This window comes from Homo sapiens, chromosome 11, assembly GCF_000001405.40.
Source record: "Homo sapiens chromosome 11, GRCh38.p14 Primary Assembly".
Classification (NCBI taxonomy): domain Eukaryota; kingdom Metazoa; phylum Chordata; class Mammalia; order Primates; family Hominidae; genus Homo; species Homo sapiens.
In genome coordinates, this window is record NC_000011.10 from 31,483,190 (window position 1) to 31,508,577 (window position 25,388).

The 25,388-nt window shown below is 36.3% G+C and overlaps 1 protein-coding gene across 13 annotated transcripts in view, besides 1 other annotated feature; it reads right to left on the reverse strand.

Annotated features, from left to right (window-relative positions):
• IMMP1L (inner mitochondrial membrane peptidase subunit 1) overlaps window positions 1-25,388 on the reverse strand; it is a 77,222-nt gene that overhangs the window by 50,789 nt on the left and 1,045 nt on the right. For 4 of the 13 annotated variants that reach the window (XM_017017305.2, XM_017017306.2, XM_005252812.4 and 1 more), the window contains exon 2: window positions 4,939-5,052. The exons of the other annotated variants lie outside the window; for them this stretch is intronic. Coding sequence is in view for 1 of the 4 variants with exons in the window: in XM_017017306.2 (XP_016872795.1) it covers window positions 4,939-4,961 (23 nt within the window). In the remaining 3 variants the exon portion in view is untranslated. The remainder of the gene's footprint in view (window positions 1-4,938; window positions 5,053-25,388) is intronic. 13 annotated transcript variants of the gene reach the window in all.
• Window positions 2,180-2,380: a silencer, noted in NCBI's record as "peak1240 fragment used in MPRA reporter construct". NCBI's record gives its function as "represses an SCP1 promoter by STARR-seq MPRAs in K562 erythroleukemia cells {active_cell/tissue: K562}" and the evidence as "EXISTENCE:reporter gene assay evidence [ECO:0000049][PMID:32103011]".

The window sequence follows — 25,388 nt, forward strand, 5'->3', positions numbered from 1 at the left end:
CTTCTGGAGTGCTGACAATGTTCTTTTACTTTATCTGGGTGCTGGTTATATGGGTGTATTTGGTTTGCAAAAAAATCATTAGGCTATCCACTCACAAAGTGTGCACTTTCCTGTATGTGTAGCTTTCTTTAAAGAAGGCACTTTTACATAAAAATACACAGATGTATAAAGATAGTCTAAATCCTTGTCATAAGAAATTTAGGAACTGACATGTATATAATCCAAGGGAGAAAACTGAGGGTTGTTACCGTATCTATTTGAATAACCAAATTTTCAACTACTTAGTTAACTTCCTGGATGCTTATAAATGGAAGACATTTATAACATTCACCCTATTATCTTCCCTTGATCCCAATCATGTATTCAGAGATATCCAGTCTTCGTGTTGGAAGTAACTGATACTGCTATTATAACACAGCTTTTAAAATAGTCTCCGGACTGAAGATTTGCCTTTATATGTGGGAAACTAAAGTGGTACAGAATGCAGTATACAGAATATATGATTGCCGTTTTCACTCTTCCTCCCAAATTTCATAAGCGTTAGTTTGTTAATCATGAATGTGTATTACTTAATTTAATAGCATTCCTTGAAAACTATCATTTTTTCAATGAAATTAAAATATAATTTACTCTTTAATAACAATACCATACACATTAAATAAAGCTTCATGATAATCTGATAATAAACTATACATCTCATATCTCCCAATTAAATATTTCCCTTGTTTCCATACTAGAATCAATATGATTTATAATACTTTTTTTCTTATATTGAAAAGATGCTTTAAGAGATAAGCTAGGAAAGATCATCCAAAGATTATTATAGTTTGTTTAATTTGTATAACAAATATTTATTTATTCACTGCTTACTATCTGTCAGGCTCTAGGGAAAATAGAATAAAAATAGCTAATTTTACAGTAAATATAGCAGGCTTACCCCTTTCACTCTCATTTGATTTACAAATAAAACTATTTTCAACTACTAACATATTAACATATTCAAAAGTTAAAACTAATCTAAAAGATATATACAGTAAAAGTCCCATCTTCCCTGTTTTCTTCTTCATCCCCACAAAGACTTAGATGTTGTATAAACTTCCAGATTTTGTTATGTAAATATAAGCAAATATGAATATATGGTTTTATTCCCCTCCCAATTTACACAAAAAGTACCTTACTGTACATTGTTTTGAATTCTGCTTTTTCCAAATAACAATGGTATGTGAAAAACTTTCCAAATGTTCATATAGAAAAAAAAATCCACTTTTTTTAACAGCTGTAGAGTATTTCATTGTGTAGTTGTCATAGTTCATTTAACGAACACGTTGCCTATAGACACTAAGGAATTTCCAATCTTTTGCTACCACACACAAAGCTACAATGAAAACTCCTATACATATGTTATTTTGTAAGTACACACAAGAATTTCTGTAATAAATTCCCAAAATTGGTACTGAGATGAGGTAAATGCATTGGTCTTTTTCTAGAAATTGCCAATTTGCATTCCACAGGAGTTGCATCATTTTGCACTTCCACAACCTATGCATCTCTGATTTATCCTGAAAAAAAGCTATTCCTCTCTCCGGGCCTCTAAAATACTTTGTTTATAAGGCAATTTCCAACGATGTGCTCACTGCAATAAACTACATAAAGCTCTTGGCTTATTTTTTTCCCAGATGCAAATGTAAAATTTGTTGACTTAGAAAGGTTAAAAGCAAATAAATTTTCAAATTAAAAAACAAACCTCATATAAACTCAGTAAATCAGCATATTAATGCCTAAATGTGCTGGGATAGCAACTGTTTGTCTTTCTAATATCTCCTGTGCTCCAAAAACAAATATACTCCCTATTCCAGTTTTTTAAAAAATTCACATTCAATAGTTTATAAATGGATACGAAGTCAAATGCATTTCACTTCTAAATGAATGTTTTCCTAAACCACTTAAATGTTTTCATGAAGTCAAATCTGTGTTACTTCTATATTTTTTAAAGCCGTAATTTCAAAGGTGATTTAACCTTTGTAACTGCCATTTTTAACAGGTAGTATCATCTAATGTATTATTTTTATTTCAATGTCTATCCTATCAAATATTTAATAATTAGAAAACAAACACCAAGTCCACTGGACTTCCTATTTGAAGTCATACTTAAGTAAATCACTTTCAATAATCCTACAACTGTTTAGCTGGAAAACATGTAAATGATCATATTTATTCCCCAAATAAGGATACGCAACCTATGTTGCATATATATTAGACAGAAATCAGTCGGTCAGACAGAAATCGGTCTGAGGTTATCTCAATATCCTGTAAAAACAAAGTGGCTAGACTAGTTGCTGATACCAAAATGAATTTTAAAATGCTAGCACACATTCTCTACTCTTATAGTCAGCAGATGTGACAGAACCATACTTAAGCTCTCACCTAAGTAATACATAATGTTAGGCAAATGCGTTGATTTTAAATATGAGTCAAACGGAAGGCACTGACAACAAAAAGCAAGAATTACCTAACAAATGTAAAAGAAAACAAAACAAATGAGAAAACACATCACAGTAGCTCTGAGGACAAAAAAGCTTATCAGGCTAGGATAATTTAGAAGAAAACAGTCCAACACAGCATAGAATTCCGAGGAAATCACTTTAATTCTGTAAAATGACTGATGTTCACAGTAACAACTCAGAGCCATTATAAAAAAACTTAAAATGTATTCTGTTTAAGAGAACAAAGACACACGTTTTTCTGATGAAGTACTCAAAGTAAAACTTCTCGGTTAAAATCAGAATATACAGTGGTTGCCCTTTAGAAGATGAACTGTGATAAAGTGCAATAACTATGGGGGCTTTAGATGTGAAACTTTTTTTTCCCTTTTTTTTTTTGTAATGACCTCTCCTTACGATAGACATGCAACTTTCTATGCTAAGCCAGTTGTTAGTTAATAGCCGAAGGAATATCTGATTTTTTCTGCAAGCTATTTAGGCATATTTTCACTTAAATGACTGGAACACTCAAGAAAATGTCCTGATTTCATTTTACTTTAAGTTGTAACTGCCAAAGTAGATAGGTTAGTCTGGCTTCTAGCTCCAATTTGCTAAATGGCCTTGTTCAAGTGACTCAATCTCTCTAGTCCTTAGTTTCTTCATCAGTAAAGTGAAGGAGTTATAGAAGGCATGATATGTTACTAAATAGAATAAGTGTGCTAACAAAGTGAAACAGAGTTACTGCATTAGGTCCTGTATCTACATCAATACTATAACTAGATCTATTTATATGTACTCTATATTTAAACTATCTCAAACTATATGTCACTTTACTATATATGTAAGGCCTACAATAAAAGAAATGATAATCATTTTAGAATGTTCCCCAACATTTAATATTGTTACTGTCAGGATATAAACAAATGTACACATGATATGTAACCAGGATATTTTTTAAAACACATTCTCAGCAATGTCATCAAATACTAGAAACAACTCAATGATCTACCAACAGCAGAATGGATGAATAAATTCTGGCACATTTAATTCAAAGGGATAATACATAATAACAAAAATGAATGAAATAAAACTACACATAACTACATGGATAACTCTTCAAAACATAATGCTGAGCAAAGGAAGAAAGAATACACGATTCATAAAGATTAAAATGAGGCGAAAAAAGTAAACATACTGCTTAGGAATACACGTAAAGTGACAAAGTTATATTAAAAATTGTATAAATAATTACCATTAAAGTCATGATACTGGTTACCTCTAAAGAAAAGAAAGCATATCAAGAGTTTCTGGGATGCCAGTAATACTCTAAGGTTACAAAGATGTATGCTAAATATTTAATTTATAATTATTCATTGTATTATATATTTATGTTCCTGTATCACTATATTTTACAACAAAAAGTTATAATTATATACTTTCTAAAATAATACTAATATATTTTTATAAAAAGGAAGGATTCCTTTCTGCTATCAACAATTTCCTTGATCTACATTTCTAATTTTTAATGCAATATTTTAATAAGGAAGAAATAAGTTACTATGCCTAATTCTCCACAATCCTAATTAAAAGTAGATTTCAGCCTTTAAATAATATAAGATCAGTTATCCTGCTAGATCTTGGCTTAGCAGCTCCATGTTGTTTCTGTCTGTCAGTCTTCTTTTCAAGAAAATGCATGCTCATTAATTCCAAATGATATTCAGGTAATAATTTGAGGCATGCTGCATTTCAAAAAATACAATAGCTTAGCCCTAAGGTAGGAAGAAACACACTTCTGACTTTCACACATTTTAAAATAATTTTGGGAGCACTTGTCTATGCATACAACATGAAGGTCCATGATAGGCAAGTCACAGACACTACAGATGAAATCCACACTGTGAGTACTAGAAAACATGATAGCTGGATTATAGCATAGTTATACAATGTCTAATGTAAATTATACTGGGGCAGTTTTAGATATTTTCTTTGGAAAAACAAAAGTACAGGGAATGGAAATTATTACAGAACATTTAACAGTAAACTAACTTACATTACAAAAAAACCCTACACAATTTACAAAATCCTCAAAGGTTCACCACCTAGAAGCATCCTTCAGTGTGTACAGTTATTCCAACTTTTAGATGCTGCTCAACAGGAAGCAGACAATGAAATTTTGAAACAAGACTATCAGTACTTTCATCAGGCTCCAGGTACCAACATGATGGCAATGATATAGCACCTTTATAATAGTTGCTTTTGTTGCATACTATTGGTTTTTGTGAATGTAGCCAAAGATTCCCCTCCTTAGTGGGTCCAACTAACCAGTTATTTGCCCATCTATTAAGTGCCAACTTTACAAAATTACATTGTGTCCAGCAGGGAGCAGCATTACAACAGTCATAAGAGTTAAGTTGAACATGAAACCGACAGAAGAAAAAGGAGGAAAAAGCCCACTTACCATAGGTCTGTTCTACAATTCATTCAATTTTTAGGGAAGTTGCAGGGCTTCCAGAAAAAAAAAAAATAAAGCATGTCTTAAAGCATAGGTGGGTGATCCACAATTTCAGGAATCCTAAAGCAGGAAATCAAAATTACATTAGTTGAAGGCTATTTTCAACCATATTGAGTTGAATTAGTAGTCTATACTATGACTGAATGACAGTTGTAACGGTGCGTCTTCCTCTTAATGGGTCCATGAGATCTTGAATTCAGGAATTTTATGACGCTTTGGAAAAAATGACTTAAAAAAACAGACAATATTAAAGTCCTTTATCCATCAGAGAATTCAGGTCAGAGAAGAAAGTAATAGCTAATAGATTATATGAGATCAACCTAGAAAGAACTATGTTCCAAGAGTTAAATGAGTTGACAGGGCAACCATCAACAGTTCATTAAACTGTTCTAGACTGAGACATAGAAAGGATACAAACATTAACTTCTGCAGGTCAGCATGAATACCTGAGGTTAATTTTAAGAATAAAAAAGCGGTAGAAAAGCAGAATACAATACTAGTGATATAAGACTAAATTAGATATGTACTGAATATAAGGAATGTGTGTGATACTGTAAAAAAAACCTTGTGACCAGTTATAATATGACAAAGGCAAAGCAATACGTTTGACACTGACTTGAATGTCAAAACCTGCCTCATAGTCAATTATAATAATTCTATCTCAGTTCTTATGATTAAGAAAATAAGTTTTATTTTTTATTTTTTATATATATTTATTTATTTATTAATTTTTGAGGCGGAGTCTCGCTCTGTTGCCCAGGCTGGAGTGCAGTGGTGCAATCTCGGCTCACTGCAAGCTCCACCTCCCGGGTTCACGCCATTCTCCCGCCTCAGCCTCCCGAGTAGCTGGGACTACAGGTACCCGCCACCATGCCCAGCTAATTTTTTTGTATTTTTAGTAGAGACGGGGTTTCACCGTGTTAGCCAGGATGCTCTTGATTTCCTGACCTTGTGATCCGCCTGCCTCAGCCTCCCAAAGTGCTGGGATTACAGGCATGAGTCACCGCACCCGGCCAAAAAGTTTTATTTTTATTTGAAATGTTAAAGTTTGCTTTGTGTGAGTTTGCGTGTGACTTTTCAGTGTCTGCCACAAAAAACAAACTTTTGCCTTTAAAACAATATATGCATATTCACTTTTAAATATGCATAATTGCATATATCTATATAATATACAATATCACATATCAATGTTATTAATACATAACATTTACTTGAAATTTAATACGTAAAATGATTCCTATTTTCTGACAAAATGACACAAGCAGTTTAACTTTGGCGAATGATATAAAGAATACGGTTTCACTCTAATAATTACCATCAATTTGACTGAAGCTGAGAGAAACTCTGATATATTAATCTTCTACCCTTTAGCAGTAAACCATTAGTTGCATTACTTATCATCTTTTGCTCTCCTTAGTCTTCTTATCTTATCTCTTGCCTTTGCTTTTACACATTTCACTTTTCTGATAATTCTTCATTTCTGCCAATCTCTCTTCCTCCTCTTTTGTAATGCATTTCTGTATCAATTCAAATTTTTAATTCAATCTTCTCTCTTTATGACACTACCACTTTTTTTTTCTTTTAACCTGGTACCTTTAAAAATGAGTTTTCTCCTGTAACAATAGTCTGTTTAAATATATCGTTTCATCCACTTACAAGCACCATGTTTGATCTCAAAAATCTTAACAATCTCACATAATTGGAAGACACATCTAAATATACTTAAATTGTATTTGTTATTCATAAAAAATTCTCCTGAGTTATTTAAGAACTTGCTAAATGTTTTTAAATTCGATCTTGAAACACGCAAAAATTTCGAGGAAATCTAATCTCACATCTAATCTCTAATCATTCCAAAAAACTAGAGACAACCACTATTCTAATAAAGAGGTAATTTAGGATCTTACTACATTGATGTGAGTAAATATTGAGTAACCAACTTCTCTAAATCAACAGAACTTTAGCGCTATTTATTCACATATGTGTGTGTATGTAATGTGCACTATCCACATTAAAAAGCAAAGGTTCATGCCTGTAATCCCAGCACTTTGGGAGGCCAAGGTGGGTGGATCACGAGGTCAAGAGATCGAGACCATCCCGGCCAACATGGTGAAAACGCGCCTCTGCTAAGAATACAAAAATTAGCCGGGCATCGTGGCGCGCGCCTGTAATCCCAGCTACTCGAGAAGCTGAGGTAGGAGAATCACTTGAACCCAGGAGGCAGAGGTTGCAGTGAGCTGAGATAGCATCATTGCACTCCAGCCTGGTGACAAAGCGAGACTCCATCTAAAAAAAAAAAAAAAGCAGTTCATTAAATAACCCCCTACTTCTATATATATTATAAAGTCTGAGAAGAAAAGTGATTTTCCTGTTCAGCACTCTCTAATATAAACATTAAAGGTATTAGTACGTTGTAACATAATGTCATAATAATTATTCACAAGCCTTGAAATTTTTTAAAATTTGTATATAGATTATACAACACCATTTATAATATAATTACCTAAAAAGAGACTATAGTGAGTTGAGAAATGGTCCCCCTTCCTGCCTCCCCTACCCAAATTCATGTTCATCTGGAACCTCAGAACATGACCTTATTTGGAAAAAGGGTCTTTGCAGATGTAATTAAGGTAAGGACCAATGTGAGATCATAGTAGATTACAAAGGGTCCTAAATCCAACGGGAACGTCCTCATTAGAGACAGAAAAGGACACAGGAAGACACAGAGAAAAGAACAATGTGAAAATGAAGTCAGCCTGGAGTTACACTGTCTCAGGGCAAGGAATAACATGACACCATAAGCTGCAGAAGCAAAGAAGGATGCCCCCCTAGAGTTTTCATAATAAACATAGCTGACAACTTGACTTCGTATTTTTGACCTCCAAAATTGTTAGAAAATTGATCTCTGTGTGTTAAGTCACCAAGTTTTTGTTCATTTGTTATGGTAATTTTAGAGAACTAACATAGATTTTCATACCAAAAACTGGAGTGTTGCTGTGATACCTAAAAATAGAAAAACAGAAAAAGCCTAGGTTGCCTTGAAGAAATTTTTGGTAGAAAAAGAAATCTTAAGAGAACTCTGCTAATGGCTCAGAAGGAAGAGAAGAGGTAAAGAAAGCTATCACCTTAAAGAATACATACATTATCATGAACAGAATGTTGACAGAAATAGGAACATTAAAAAGGTTTCTGATGAACTCTCAAGAAGGAAATGAAGAACATGGTATTGGAAAGTAAAGAAATAGCAGTCCTTGTTGTAAAGTGGCAGAAAACTTGGCTGAAATGGGTTCTACTATGTGGCAAAACGTAGAACTTGGTAAGCAATTAACTTGAATATGTAGCTGAGGAGATTTCCAAGCAAAGTGTTAAAGGCGTAGACTGTTTTCTCCGGGCTGCTTACAGTAAAATGTGAGAGAAGAGATAAATTGAGGAAGAAATTGTTAAGCAAAGAAAAACCTATGATTTGGAGATTTCTTAACCTATCTAAATTGTAAAAGATGCTAAAACATGCTCTGGAGAAGGGCCAAGGATGTGGCTGAAAAACCTTTTCTGAAGAGATTAGGTATGTGACTAATGGGTCCAAATCAACCTTTTCAGCAGAAGCTAGAAACAGAGATGAGATTATCCAGGAAAGATCTTTGAAGAATTCTCTTATGATGGCAGAGATCCTCTAGACATACATGGGAGACCCACACATTTTAAAATATTCAGTAAACCATGCTATAAACACATGTGCTGTCACCCAGGCTTTGTTGTTCTGTCTATAAAGAACAGGCAGAGTAGCTTTAGTATAATTCCTAAGGGCCTTGGGATTTTCATAATGGTAAATGAGCACTGGCTTCAACTTAAAGACACCAGTTGCCATTATCCCCTTAGGAGAGTGAGCCTGTCCTGAGAAGCATCAAAGCCAGGCATTGACTTCTCTCCAGCTATGAAAAGTCCTAGATAGCATCTTCTTCCAACAGAAGGCTGTTTAATCTACATTGAAAATTTGTCACTTCATGTACCCACCTATATCAACTATCTTTGCTAGATAGAGGTAACTTGCTGCAGCTTGCCATACACTTTTATGTTATGGCTTCTCTCCTTAAACCTCATTAATACAACCTCTGCTATCTTTCAAATGTTCTTCTGCAGCTTCCTCACCTCTCTCAGCCTTCATAGAATTGAAAAAAACAGGATCTTACTCTGGATTAGACTTTGACTTGAAGGAACATTGTGGCTGGTTTGATCTATCCAGACAACTAAAACTTTCTCCATATGAGTAATAAGGTCATTTCTCTTTCTTAACATTCATGAGTTTATGAACTTTTCCCATTGCATTCACAGCTTAACTGTTTGGCAAGAGGCCTACCTCTTGGCCTGTCTCAGCTTTCAACAAGCCTTCCTTGGTAAGCTTAATCATTTCTAGCTTTTGATTTAAAGTGACAAATATGCCATGCTTTCTTTCACTTGAACACTTAAAGACCACTTTAAAGACCACTGTATGGTTAATTTTCCTAATTTCAATATTGTTATGTCTCAGTGACACAATGAAGTGAATAGGGAGTGAATAGGGAGGCCAGCGAAGGAGAGCTGGGGGGACAGCTGGTTGATAGAACAGTTAGCACACATACATTTACTGATTAAGTTAACATTCTTACATGGGCACGGTTTCTGGTGCCTCAAAACAATTACAATAGCAACACCAAAGATCCTGATCACAGATAACCATCACAGATATAATAATGATAAGAAGGTTTGAAATATTGCAAGAATTACCAAAATGTGACACAGGGACACAAAGTGAGCATGTACTGTTGGAAAAATGGCACCAATAGACTTGCTAATTGCAGGGTTGTCACAAATCTTCAAGTTGTAAAAAATGCAGTTCTTCAAAGCTCGATACAGGGAAGCACAAATAAGATGATGCATGCCTGTAGTTTTTCTACAAAAAATGTTAAGGGACCCTGAAAAGCCAAAACAACTGTATTACTCCATTTTCATGCTGCTATAAAGAACTGCCCAAGACTGGGTAATTTATAAAGAACAGAGGTTTATTTGACTCACAGTTTTGCAGGGCTGGGGAGGCCTCAGGAAACTTACAATCATGGTGGAAGGAGAAGCAAACACATCCTTCTTCACATGGTGGCGGGAAGGAGAAGTGCCAAGCAAAGAGGGGAAAGCCCCTTATGAAACCATCAGATCTCAGGAGAACTCACTCACTATCACTAGAACAGTATGGGGGTAACCCACCCCCGCCATGATTCAGTTACCTCCTACCAGTTCCCTTGCACAGTATGTGGGGATTATGGAAACTGTAATTCAAGATGACATTTGGGTGGGGGCGTAATCAAACCATATCATTCCACCCCAGCCCCGCCCAAATTTCATGTCCTCACATTTCAAAACACAATCATGCCTTTCCAACAGTTCCCTAAAATCTTAGCTCATTCCAGAATTAACCCAAAAGTCCAAGTCCAAAGTCTCATCTGAGACAAGGCAAATCCTTTCCACCTATGAGCCTACAAAATCAAAAGTAAGTTAGTTACTTCCTAGATACAACAAGGGTACAAGCGTTGGGTAACTACACCCATTCCAAATGGTAGAAATTGGCCAAAACAAAGGGGCTGTGGGCCCCATACAAGTCCAAAATCCAATAGAGAAGTCTTCAAACCTTAATGTTCCAAAATGATCTCCTTTGACTCCATGTCTCATATCCAGGTCACACTGATGCAAGAGGTGGGCACCCATGGCCTTGGGCAACTCCGCCTCTACGGCTTTGCAGGGTACAGCTCCCCTCCTGGCTGCTTTCATGGGCTGGCTTTGAGTGTCTGCAGCTTTTCCAGGTGCACGGTGCAAGCTGTCAGTGGATCTACCATTCCGGGGTCTGGAGGACCATGGCCCTCTTCTCACAGCTCCACCAGGCCATGCCCCAGTGGGGACTCTGTGTGGGGGCTTCAACTCCACATTTCCCTTCCTCATTGCTCTAGCAGAGGTTCTCCACAAGTGCTCCACCCCTGCAGCAGACTTCTGCCTGGTCATCCAGGCATTTCCATATATCCTCTGAAATCTAGGAGGAGGTTCCCACACCTCAATTACTGACTTACGTGCACCCACAGGCCCAACACCACATGGAAGTCACCAAGGCTTGGGGCTTGCACCCTCTGAAGCAATGGCCCAAGCCGTACTTTTGACCCTTTAAGCCATGGCTGGAGCTGACACAGCTGGGATGCAGGACACCATGCCCCAGGACTGCACAGAACAGGGGCAACCCTGGGCCCTGCCCAGGAAACCATTTTTCCCTTCTAGAGGCCTGTGATGAAAGGGCTGCCGTGACATGTCCTAGAGGCATTTTCCCCATTGTCTTGGTGATTAACACTGGGCTCCTTGTTACTCATGCAAATTTCTGTAGCTGTCTTGAATTTCTCCCCAGAAAATGGGTTTTTCTTTTATATCACATAGTCAGGCTGCAAATTTTCCAAACTTTTTTTTTTTTGAAAAGTAGTCTCACTCTGTCACCCAGGCTGGAGAGCAGTGGTGTGATCTAGGCTCACTGCAAGCTCCACCTCCCGGATTTACTTACGCCATTCTCCTGCCTAAGCCTCCCAAGTAGCTGGGACTACAGGTGCCCGCCACCACGCCCAGCTAATTTTTTGTATTTTTAGTAGAAACAGGTTTCACTGTGTTAGCCAGGATGGTCTCAATCTCCTGACCTCGTGATCCGCCCACCTTGGCCTCCCAAAGTGCTGGGATTACAGGCGTGAGCCACCGCGACCAGCCCAAATTTTCCAAACTTTTATGCTCTGTTTCCTCTTGAATACTTCACTGCTTAGAAATTTCTTCCACCAGATACCCTAAATCATTTCTTTCAAGTTCAAAGTTCCACGGATCTCCAGGGCAGTGGCAAAATGCCACCAGTCTCTTTGCTAAAGCATAGCAGAGTTACCTTTGCTCCAGTTCCTAGTAAGTTGCTCATCTCCATCTGAGACCACCTCAGCCTGGACTTCATTGTCCATATCACTATCAGCATTTTGGTCAAAGCCATTCAACAAGTCTCCAAGAAGTTCCAAACTTTCCCACATCTTCGTGTCTTCTGAGCCTTCCAAGTCTCTAGGAAGTTCCAAACTTTCCTACATTTTCCTGTCTTCTTCTGAGCCCTCCAAACTGTTCCAACCTCTGCCTGTTACCCTGTTCCAAAGTCAATTCCACATTTTCAGGTATCCTTATAGCAGTGCCCCTCTCCCTCAGTACCAATTTACTGTATTAGTCCATTCTCATGCTAGCCTCAGGCATGCACAAAGAACTGCCTGAGACTGGATAATTTATAAAGAAAAGAGGTTTAGTTGACTCACAGTTCTGCAGGGCTGGGAAGGCCTCGGGAAACTTACACTCATGGCGAAAGGACTTACACGCTGATTTCAAATGTTGATATTATTATTTTAAGCCCTGAGTCAAAATTTAGTACAAAGTTATAGTAAGCAAAAACGTGGTACTGGCATAATGACAGATCTATAGACCAATGGAATAGAATAAAGAGCACAGAAATAGCATTGACATAAATGGTCAAATGATTTTTGACAAGGGTGCCAAGACCATTCAATGGGGAAAAGGCAGTCTTTTCAACACATGGTATTGAGAAAACTAGATATCAACATAAAAAAGAATGAAGTTGGACTTTTGTCTTACACCATATAAAATTAACTCAAAATAGATCAAAAACCTAAATGGAAGAGCTAAAACTACACAACTCTTGATTGGCCATGATTCATTGAATATGGCAACAAAAACAAAGGTCACAAAAGAAATAAAAATATATAAACTAGACTTTCTCAAATTAAAAACTTTTGAGCAACAAAAAATACTATCACAAGGAGAAAGTATTTGCATATCATACATCTAATTAAGGGTCACGGTCCAGAATATATAAAGAACTCCTATAACTCAAAAACCCGCAAAAAAAAAAAAAACAAAGCCATTACTCAATTCAAAACCGGCAAAGGTTTTCAAAAGACATCTCTCCAGACAAGGTATACAAATGGCCAATAAGCACATGAAAAGATGTTAAACATCCCTAGTCATTAGGGAAATGCATATCAAAACCACAATAAGATATCACATCATATGCATTAGGATGACTATTATCAAAAAAACAGAAAATAACAAATGTTGCTAAGGATGTGGTGAAATTGTAACCCTTCCGCACTCCTGGTGGGAATGCAAAATGGTACAGCCAATGTGGAAAACAGTTTGGTGATACCTTAAAAAGTTAATCATAGAATTTTCATATAATCCAGCAATTCCATTGTATGGTATATACCCAAAGGAAATGAAAACAGAGATTCAAACAGATACTTCTATGCCAATGTTCACTGTAGCACTATTTACAATAGCCAAAGGTAGAAACAACCCAAGAGTCTATCAACAGATGAATGGATAAACAAACTGTGATATATGTGTGTGTGTGTGTGTGTGTATATTATAAATATGTTATCTTATATATATGTTATAACTTTTTAAAATTTTATTATTATTATACTTTAAATTTTAGGGTACATCCTAATGCTAAATGATGTTAATATGTTATAATTTACATATGTAATCTGATATAGGATAATCATATATTATAATAGATAATCCTATATATAACATATATTATACATTATATAATCTATAATTTTATATATCTAAGAGTATATTATATAATCTTATATATATCTGATATATATGATCTTATATCATATATAATACAATCTTATATATTATATACAATGATATATCATCTATTACGTATATCATATATATCATCTATTATATATGATAATCTTATATCATATACTATAATCTTATATAAGATTGCACATGTTACATATATGTATTACATATTATATATATATACACACACAGATGGTCCCTGACTTAGCAATGGTTTCACTTATGATTTTCAACCTTATAATGGGTTTATCAGGGTATTAAATACATTTTCAACTTATGGTATTTTCAACTTAAATTGGGTTTATCAGGACATAACTCCATCATAAGTCAAAGAGCATCTGCAATAGATTATTCAGCCATAAAAAAATGAAGTTTTAATATATGATACAAAATACATGAACTTTGAAAAACATTATGCTAAGTGAAAAATATTATGCAAATATTAACAAGAATATAGTATGATTCCACTTATATGAGGTGCTTATAATAAGTTGGCAAATTCACTGAGAGTAGAATACAGGTTATTAGTGGTTGAAACAAGAGAGAATAACAAGTTACTGCTTCTTGGGTACAATATTTCTTTTCTTTTTTTTTTTTTTTTTTTGAGATGGGAGTCTCGCTCTGTCGCCAGACTGGAGTGCAGTGGTGCGATCTCCGCTCACCGCAACCTCCGCCTCCTGGGTTCAAGCAATTCTCCTGCCTCAGCCTCCCAAGTAGCTGGGACTAGAGGCACGCGCTACCACGCCCAGCTAATTTTTCTATTTTTAGTAGAGACGGGGTTTCAGCATGTTAGCCAGTATGGTCTCGATCTCTTGACCTCGTGATCCGCCTGCCAAAGTGTTGGGATTACAGGCGTGAGCCACTGCACCCGGCGGGGTACAATATTTCTTCTTGAATGATGAAAAAGTTTTAGAAATAGTGGCAATGATTACACAACATTGTAAGTACTCTTAATGTGACTTCACTTATACTTAAAAATGATGAAAGTAGTGAATTTTATGTTACGTATATTTTTATCACACATACACAAATTTTTTTAAAGGGCTCAAAACCTTGAGCCAGTTCAGAGGGCAGACACAAATACTTCAGTTAGAAAATCAAAACTGGGCTACTGATAAGTAGTAAAGTGAACATATTCCAATGCTCAGTGAGAGAAAAACGATCGTCATGTATGATGATAATCTATTAATTTTCATGTGAGTTGATTTAGGAAATGTTAATAGAAAAAACATAATTTGCTTTATATTCTTAAAAAATCCAACCTTAGAATACCAAATGGACTATAAAATTATTTTCAAATCTTTAATTTTGACTAATGGAAAAATTGTAATACCAAATGACCTTTAATGTTATTCTTTGAACCTTTCACTTTGGGAAATAAAAAATATAATAAGCAGAACTATAAAATTAAAATTCTAAAGGTTTTAAGAAGGAAATATTTTTAAATTACAAAGGATTCTGTTTCACCACTGGACAACACTGTTATAAAGTTCTTTAATCTGGGTTGAAACTGAAATTTCTATGCCCTGGAGAAACAAAGAGGTCTAATTTTTTTTTGACAGGATTAAAACAAGTCTTATGAAACTCAAAATCTTTCACCTCCCAGCTACCTATATTCCAGTTACTACCTCAATTGCTTTCCCATCACTTTTTCTCACCATATTAATCACTCTGAATATATACCTATTTTAGCAGAGCAAATATGCTTCATGTTTTATGCTAATATCCATAAACTGGCTACATAAAAAGCTACCCTGAGGAGGAAACTAAGCCTGTATTTGGACTGAAGTGGAAAATAGTGGATAAGAGTATGAATTCTGTAGTCAGACAGGCTAGCTCTATTGTGAATCCTAGATCTTCCACTTACGAGCTTTCTGACCTAGATAGAACAAGTTACTTATCCTTTATGTGACTCCATTAACTTCTGAACACACTCATCTATAAAATGTGTGAGGATTAAATAATATATAAAGCATTCACAACATTACAGGGACTACAATAGGCATTCAACAAAAACATTACTTAATATAATTAATCACCAATACATCCATGGAGAGAGGAGTGGAGATACTGAAGAAGATACTAAAGAAGATACTTTACATTTCAGTTTTACCATGTGTCTTTTGATTCAAATATCATGCCTAAATGGGATTCTGGTTCAAAACTGCAGATAAATTTACTGCTACTCTCTTCAAAAACTACACGGAGGGCCGGGCGAGGTGGCTTACACTGTAATCCCAGCACTTTGGAAGGCCAAGGTGCACGGATCACGAGGTCAGGAGATCAAGACCATCCTGGCTAAAATGGTGAAACCCGGTCTCTACTAAAAATACAAAAAAATTAGCTGGGCGTGGTGGCGGGCACCTGTAGTCCCAGCTACTCAAGAGGCTGAGGCAGGAAAATGGCGTGAACCCGGGACGCGGAGCTTGCAGTGAGCTGAGATCACGTCATTGCACTCCAGCCTGGGCGACAGAGTGAGACTCCGTATCAAAAAACAAAACAAAACAAAACAAAACAAAAAACACTACACTGAAACGACAGTACGTTTTAAAAAATAAATAGAAATAAATGCTGAGAAAAGGAGTGAAAGGCACACTAGAGATTTTGAAGAATTTCTGGAAGACCAGGCATATAAAATCATAGTGATAGGTTTGGATGGAGCGAATGACAGTCCAGATATGGTTAGCAAATTATAGTTCACAGGGTAAATCTCCCAGCCCATCACATGCTTTTGCATTTTTTAAAGGGCTGAAAGACTAAAGCAGCAGCATATTTTTTATAACATGTGAAAACTACATGAAATTCAAATTTCAGTGTCCACAAAGTGTTATTAAAACACAGCCATACTCATTTGTTAATGTTATTTCTGGCTACTTTCCCATGGAAGAGTTAAGAGGTCATATTACCCGCAAAACCTAAAATATTTACCATCTGGTCCCAGAAAATGTATGCCCACCCCTAGCCAAGCACAAACATGAGAATGCTTCAGGAAGATGAGACGCTTCTTCCTGTGACTCCAAAGGGGTTCTGAGCTAAAATCAGCAGTTCTGGAGGCTAACTTCTTAAATAAATAAATAAATAAATAAATAAATAAATAAATAAATAAAGTGTAATCTGCCTGAGAAGAATTTGGTCTCCAAGTATGGAGGTTGGAGAGCTAGGTTAGGGGCCTCCTCATCTGGCTATTAGAGAACGACTGGTCTGTGTACTTGCTCCTTGATTATGCACATTAAAGCAAAGTACACCAATAAATTAAGTCCTACCAACCCACAAGAAAATTGGTCAGTCTTTTTTTTTCCATTTAGGCTAAAGATTTGATGGGAAAACAAAGAAAGAGAAAACCCACTCCAGTTACTATATTATTCCACTGGTCCTTCACTTATCAACATGAATAAAGAGCCAACATTTAAGGAAAACACGAGCATGAGAAAGAAGGTCCATAATGAAAATAATTAGTCTGAATAAGCAACCCTGGAGAAATCAGAGGTAATTCAGGGAGGAAAAAAAATTCTATGTCTCTGTAAAACAAGAGATATAGAATTAAAAGAACAGAGTTTAAACATAAAATATATGCCTGTCTGCCACCACCTTCTCCCATTCAGAAAAAATAGAAAAGGTGGAGAAAAAGTTGAAGAGGAACAATCCAAAGGAGTTAATCTTCCTAAACTTTCAGGAAAAGACACTCCTCTCTCCCCTCCAAAAATCTGTTCCACATATGCACACACACACACACACAAACACACACACACACACTCCCCAAAGAGAGGGTGTTGAAAGGACTCGGAACACAGGGCAAATGAAATAAAAATACATAAAGCTGTAGACACTTTTTTTTTTCAACCTAGAGCAGAGGTTGCCAAACTAGGGCCCATGAGTCAAATTCAGCAGACTCTGTTTTAGCCAATAAAGTTTTACTGGGACAAAGTCATGCTCATTCATATACATGTTATCTGTGACTGCTTTTGTGCTCTCACAGCGAGTTGAAAAGTTGTAACAGAGACCATATGGACTACAAGGCCTAAAATATTTACTATTTGGTCTTTTATAGAAAAAGGTTGCCAAAGCTTGATCTAAAGCTGTGTGATTTAATATAGTACAAACTAGCCACATGCAGCTGTTTAAATAAATAACTTAAAATAACTAAAATTAAATAAGATTAAAATTCAGTTCCTCTGTCATATCAGTCACATTTTAAGTACTCTATAACCATACGTGTTTAATGACTATTGTACTGGACAGTGCAGATACAGAACATTTCCATCAACATAGGAGGTTCTACTGGACAGGGTTCATCTGGGTATTACAATAGATTATTGTAACTGCATTTTAATTACTGCTTTAACAATTGCTACACTGAAAAAACATACCTAAGTGCTACAGTCTGAATGTGTCCCCCAAAAAGCATGTGTTGAAAATTTAATTCCCAGTGCAATAGTGTTGAGAGGTGAGGCTAAATGGGAGGTGTTTAGGTCTGAGGGCTCCACCCTCATGAATGGATTAATGAAAATTATAAATGAGATTGAGGCTGAGAGTTGACTCTTGTTCTCTCTTGCTCTCTCTTGGGCCACTCCACTATGTGATAACACAGCAAGGACACCCTCGCTGGATACCAGCCCCTCAATCTTGGACTTCCCAGTTTCCTGAATTGTGAGCCAATATATTTCTGTTCATTATACATTACCCAGTCTCAGGTATTCTGTTACAGCAACACAGAATAGAATAAGACACTCAGAAGCAGGAAGAAGAAATACATTTAGAAAAAGACAGAAATTAGGGGTTTTAGAAATGAAAATAATGGCCGAGCATGGTGGCTCATGCCTGTAATCCCAGCACTTTGGGAGGCCGAGGCAGGTGGATCACTTGAGGCCAGGAGTTTGAGCCCAGCCTGGCCAAAACAGTGAAACCCCATCTCTACAAATAAATAAATAAATAAATAAATAAATAAATAAATAAATAGCTGGGCATGGTAACACATGCTTGTAACCCCAGCTACTTGGAAGGCTGAAGCATGAGAATTACTTGAACCTGGGAGGTGGAGGTTACAGTGAGCCAAGATCATGCCACTGCACTCCAGCCTGGGCAACAGAGTAAGACTGTCTCAAAAAAAAAAGAAAAAGAAAAAGAAATGAAAATAATTAATGCATACATCAAAGACCTTGTTGTATGAAAATATCACCGAAATAGATATTTTTAAAGTCCTTCAAAGTCAGAGAGAAAAAATCCGAACTGAGAGAAAATTCAAAGATATAGTACTACAAATGAGAAACTAAATTTGAACATAGATGTGGAAGAGATTATAATTCAAGGTTGAGAATGTAATGAATGCTATCACATTTGAAAGTAATAATAAAGTTTCCTACGAAAACAGAATTCAAAAAGAGGTAGAATAATTATATAGAACAAGAGCCATTAGTAATTTTTTAAATTATGTAATAAATGGATCCAATTTGGTTCTGAGTTAATGAAAATAATGTTTGCTAGGATATCCAACTTTCATTTTATCCTGCAAGAAATTCATCAAAACATACTTCATATCCAGACTCTTAAACTAAGAAACAGTAGTCAAAATAATAAATTTCACTCTAACACTACCCATTGGTCCAGGATTTATTTATTTCTTTAGAGAGGAGCTTCAGGAGCCTGTGGGACCCTTCGGGCAAAATCAGTAGATGTGATTTTTTCATATGAAATAGTTTTAAATATTTGGCCTACTCCCAGGCTTCCATAATTATTCAAACCGAAGGGAAATTGATCACATCTCAGCAGAAATGTCCACGATAATTAGAACATCACACATGCTTTAACACAGTAGCTTTATGTCTATGAGACTCTGGTTGACACGTGAAAGGAACACCAGTCAGCCGTTATTTAATTCCTCATGTTGGCTACATGCAAATATGGAGAAAAGTCCCAGACTGAATGACATACAAATGTTGGGCCAGTCTCTGAAATTTCTTTTCTTTTTTTGCTAAAAATTTTAATGTTTTTGTGTTGACCATTAAAAACACTTTGTTTGCCTTTATTTTTTCTTGTAGACAGATTTACTTGACAAATCTCCTTGAACTAAAACCCTTGGACACATTTACCCTATTACACTGCACATTCTAACACATGACTATACAATGGCTTTTTAAGTTTTAATTTAAATACCCCAGTTTTCCATTTATACTTTAAAATCCACTAAAATTATAATGAATATAAGTACTCATTTGCCCTGGTCAGTCCCAGCTTACTCCTGCTTTCCTAGCATCCAATATAATTCAGTATTTCAGTACTTTCAAAAGTGTCCTAAATAATCTACAGATCAAAGAGAAAATCAAAACAAAAAGTAGTAAATATTTTGAAATAAATGATGAAAACATAAAATGCCATAAGTTATAGGAGCAGCTAGTGCACGCTCTTAACTACATACGGTATATTAGAAAAGGCAGAAAATCAATAATTAAGCTTTTAGTATAAGAAGGCGGAACAAACAAAGCCTTAGCAAATCAAAATGAAGGAATGTAGAAGGAAATAAATGATAAATAAATAGTAATCGATTAAACAGAAAGTAGAAAGTAAAGACTGAGAAAAACCAATAAAGCCAAATTTGAGTATTTTTAAAGATTACGTGAAAAATCCCTAGCAAAATTAACAATGAAGAAAAAAAGGAAAAGAAACTCATTCTCAATTGCTGATATTTATTTATCAGCAATAAATAAAAGAAGAAATCACTACAGTCACAAAAGGATAGGAAGAGCTCATTCCAGTATGGCAAAGTAAGCTTATGACAGACCAATCCTACCATAGACAACAACTATAAACTCTGAACAATACACAAAAATCAATTATGTGAAGGCTCTACAGATTTAATAGAAGCAAACAGATTTTGCTGGGTAGTCAACTTAGGTGAGAAGGAATTGCCACAGGGTGAGTTTCCCATTTTTACTGATTTAACTTGAGGTCCCCACAGTACAGTGTGGCTCAAATTCTGAGAGAAAGAAAGCCAGCCTTCTGAAGAACCTGAAGACACACACTAACCAATGGAAAGTCCAGAAAGAAATCTGCCTAATTTATGTGTGACTTTATTTATTAAAAAAGTGATGATGCGATATAGCAAGGAAAGAATCATTTTTTCAATAAATGGTGCTAGGTCAATAGGATACCAATACAGGAAAAATAAACACATCTTTACCGCTGCCTCACACCAAACACAAAAAAGTCAATTCCAATAAAGTACAGACATAAATATTTAAAAGTAAAACATCAATGGTTTTAGGAAAAAAAACATGGAGATCATCTTCGAAATTTTGGAGTAGGCAAACATAGCCATAAAGCACCAGCCACTAAGAAAAAATTGTTAAGTCAGAATATGTTTTGACTGAAATCAAAAGATAAGAAAATGAAAAGGCAAGCTACAGAATGATAGAAGATATTTGTAATGAATTTATTTGGAAACGAACTCTTATCCAAAATATAAAAGAACTCCTACAAATCCATGGGACAGAGGCAGACAATCCAAATTTGTAAAATTAAAAAACATGGATAGACCCTTTCACAAAAGAGGTTACCCAAATGGCCAATAAGCATATAAACGGGTGCTCAACTTCGTCAGTTCAAATCCAAATGACAATGCCATACCACAACCCTCTGAGAATAGCTGAAATGAAAGAAGAAAAACATTGTGTTGATAAGGATGAGAAGTAACAACCATTCCCAAATACTACTGGTAAGAGTATAAACTGGTACAATTGCATTGAAGAAATGGCCACAAATGGGAAACTATCCAAATCCCTTCTAACAGTAGAACACATAATAAATTATAATACATTTATATAATACTATACAGCAATAAGAATAGATCAGCCACAACGACACACATTAACAAGGATCATTTCACAAAAATAATGTTAAGCAAAAGAAGTCAAACATGGAATCTAATAGTGGATCTAATGGAATCTAATAGTTGATCTCACAGAAGTAGAGAGTATAATAAAAGTAGAGAAGTAGAAAAACAGGTAAAAGAAATCTGTGGTGCTACAACTCAGGACTATAGTTTCTCTTTGTGAGTATAATGACAGGAAGGAGGCAAAAAAGGAATTACCGGAGGTTGAGGAACTCCCTCTGTGTAGACATGACCTTAGTATTCATTCCTTCAATCATGCTGCCAGAATACCAGCAGGCCCCGTAGTGAACCTTCACAGTATCTCTGCTATATGCTTTACCTGCACAGACACAACAGTGATATGGACTCCAGGGCTAGTGAAGCCACTGAAAAAACAACTGAAGAGGTGTCCACTTGTATCAGAAGGTGCTGGTTGCCTACCATGTTCATTATATGTTTTCTGGTGTATCTCAAAGTGGTTTCCTGCAGGATTTACAACAGTCAATCAAGGAAGTTATGGGAAACATTGTGGACATGGAAAAAATAAAAAATAAAAAACGTCGGGAGGGAATAGTTGTTTAAGATAGGCACCTTGGAGAAATTCAAGAGTTAACAGACACCACACCAGAGGCATTAACAGAAGATGACTTGATGGAGATGAATGCTTCCAAACAAGTGCCAGATGATGAGAAAGAAGTAGAAGAAGCAGTGCCAGAAAACAAACTGACATTAGGCAATCTGGCAGAAGTCTTCCAGTTATTCAAGACTGCTGTGACTTCTTCTGACATGGACCCCTATTATAACACAGATACTAAAACTAAAGCAAACAGTGGAAGAAATGGTACTGTACAAAAACATTTTTAGAGAGCTGAAAAAGCAAAACAGACAAATTAGTATGTATTTCCATAAAGCTATATTGACTGCGTCTACCTCTCCTTCCTCCCCTCCCACCTTCTCTGTCTCTGGCACCCTTGAGACTACAAGACCAACCCCTCCTCTTCCTCCTTCTGCTCAGACTACTCAACATGAAAAATGTCAGAACGAAGACCTGTATAATGATCCACCTGCACTTAATGCATGGCAAATATATTTTCTTCCTATGATTTGATTAACATTTTCTCTAGCTTACTTTATGGAAAGAATGCAGTACATAATACATATACAAATTATGTGTTAATCCACAGATGTCATTGGTACAGCATCCAGTAGTCAAAAGTAGACTATTAGCAGTTAAGTTTGGGAGGGGTCAAAAGTTATATGCGTGTTTTCAACTACACGGGTGTGGGGGTCGACACCCCTGATCCGCACACTGTTCAAGGATCAACTGTACTTTATTGACCTATTTGCCCACGTATCTTCCCCAACTGTGAACTCAAAGAGTACTGACACAGTATTTTTTTCTCCTGTAACCTGAGCTCTGGTGCACTTCCTAGAATTTAGTATGTCCTTCATAAAGAATTAATTAAGAACGCACCTAAACATATAACTTTTTTTTTTTTTTTTTTTGAGACACAGTCTCGCTGTGTCGCCCAGGCCTGGAGTGCAGTGGCGCAATCTCGGCTCACTGCAAGCTCTGCCTCCCGGGTTCACCCCATTCTCCTGCCTCAGCCTCCTGAGCAGCTGGGACCACAGAAGCCCGCCACCATGCCCAGCTAATTTTTTTGTATTTTTTAGTAGAGACGGGGTTTCACCATGTTAGCCAGGAAGGTCTCGATCTTCTGACCTTGTGATCTGCACGCCTCGTCCTCCCATAGTGCTGGAATTACACGCATGAGTCACTGTGCCCAGCCAACATATAACTTTTAACTCTTCCTTTCCATGAATACTTTATTTATTCTCGTGTTTTATATTCAACTCTGCTACTTGCTGGTAAGTTCAAGAATTTGAAATTATTTGGGAGCAAAGATTTTATCTTTGTTAAAAAAAAAAAAAAAAAAGGCGGCTGGGCGCGGTGGCTCACACCTGTAATCTCAACACTTTGGGAAGCCGAGGCGGGTGGATCACAAGGTCAAGAGATTGAGACCATCCTGGCCAACATGGTGAAAGCCTGTCTCTACTCAAAATACATAAATTAGCTGGGCATGGTGGTGCATGCCTGTAGTCCCAACTACTCAGGAGGCTGAGGCAGGAGGATCATTTGAACCCAGGAGGCGGAGGTTGCAGTAAGCCGAGATCATGCCACTGCACTCCAGCCTGGCAACAGAGCGAGACTCCGTCTAAAAAGAAAACAAAAAACAAACAAACAAAAAACCCATATTTGGCTGACGCGCTGGCTCACACCTGTAATTCCAGCACTTTGGGAGGCCGAGGTGGGCGGATCACGAGGTCAGGAGACTGAGACCATCCTGGCTAACACGGTGAAACCCCATCTCTACTAAAAATACAAAAAATCAGCAGGGCGTGGTGACGGGCGCCTGTAGTCCCAGCTACTCGGGAGGCTGAGGCAGGAGAATGGTGTGAACCCAGGAAGGCACAGCTTGCAGTGAGCCGAGATCGCGCCACTGCACTCCAGCCCGGGGAACACACCTAGACTCCGTCTCAGAAAAAAAAAACAAAAGCATATTTATCCTACGATAGTGTTATACCAGATATATATCCTAATTTCATGAATACTCTGGTGTGTATATAGATCATCTTTCCAGAATTATAGTCCAAGTCAAAGTTGGAAAATAATTCTTCAGTTCTAGTAATGAGGCAAACAAAGCACCACTATCATCATCTTGGGAAATCTAAAGGGTTAAGTAAATACAGTAGGAAACAAGGGAATATGTAATACAGAAGCCTATAAAAACGAATTATACCATTATGTTAAGTGAAATAAGTCAGACACAGAAAGACAAATATCACATGATCTTACTCATAGGTGGAATCTAATAGTTCATCGCACAGAGAGTACAATGGTGTTTACCAGAGGCCAGGATGGTTGGCAGGGGGGATGGGGAGAATTTGGTCAAAGATACATAATATCAGTTAGATAGGAGGAATAAATTTCAAGAAATCTATTATATAACATGAATTTATAGCAAGCTGACTATAGTTAATAATCATATATTGTATTCTTTAAAAAAATGTAAACAGTGTAGATGTTATGTACTCTTACCACAAAAATGATAACTATGTGAGGTAATGCATTGCTAATTAGCTAGATTTAACGATTCCGGAATGTACATACACTTCATAGCATCATGAGGTACACAAAACAATGCCATCTGTCAAAAAATAATAATTATATGTAGCATTTCAAAAAGTTCACAGCATCAAAAATATTTGTAGGGGTGGGGGGACAGAGAGCATCAGGAAGAATAGCTAATGGATGCTGGGCTTAATACCGAGGTGGTGGGTTGATCTGTGCAGCAAACCACCACAGCACACGTTTACCTATGTAACAAACCTGCACATGAAGCCCAGAACCTAAAACAAAAGTTGAAGAAAAAAAAAATTCAAGACGTTTCTATCTGATATTGGACTGCTTTGTCACTTTTTCTTTTGGTCTTCCTAGTGCTTATTTACTACAGGATAAAATTAGCACATGCTATTTAATGTGTTCATTTTAAGTACTATGTTGTTTTCTATGTGTTAATTTTATCTCCTCCAGGTGAGACCATTTTTATTACCATAGGTCTAAAATGACAAGATTAAGTCCAAACAGACAGTAATCACTCAACAGCTATTTATTGAGTAACTTAAAGATTCAATATGAAAGCAACCTTGATCAAAGCTTTCCAGTTGATATATTGTGAAACAGGGTTTTTTCCTAAACATGATTCTAAAAAACAAGCAAACAAACAAAAATCCTCCCCAAATGAAAAACTCCAGTCACTATTTAGCAATACTAATT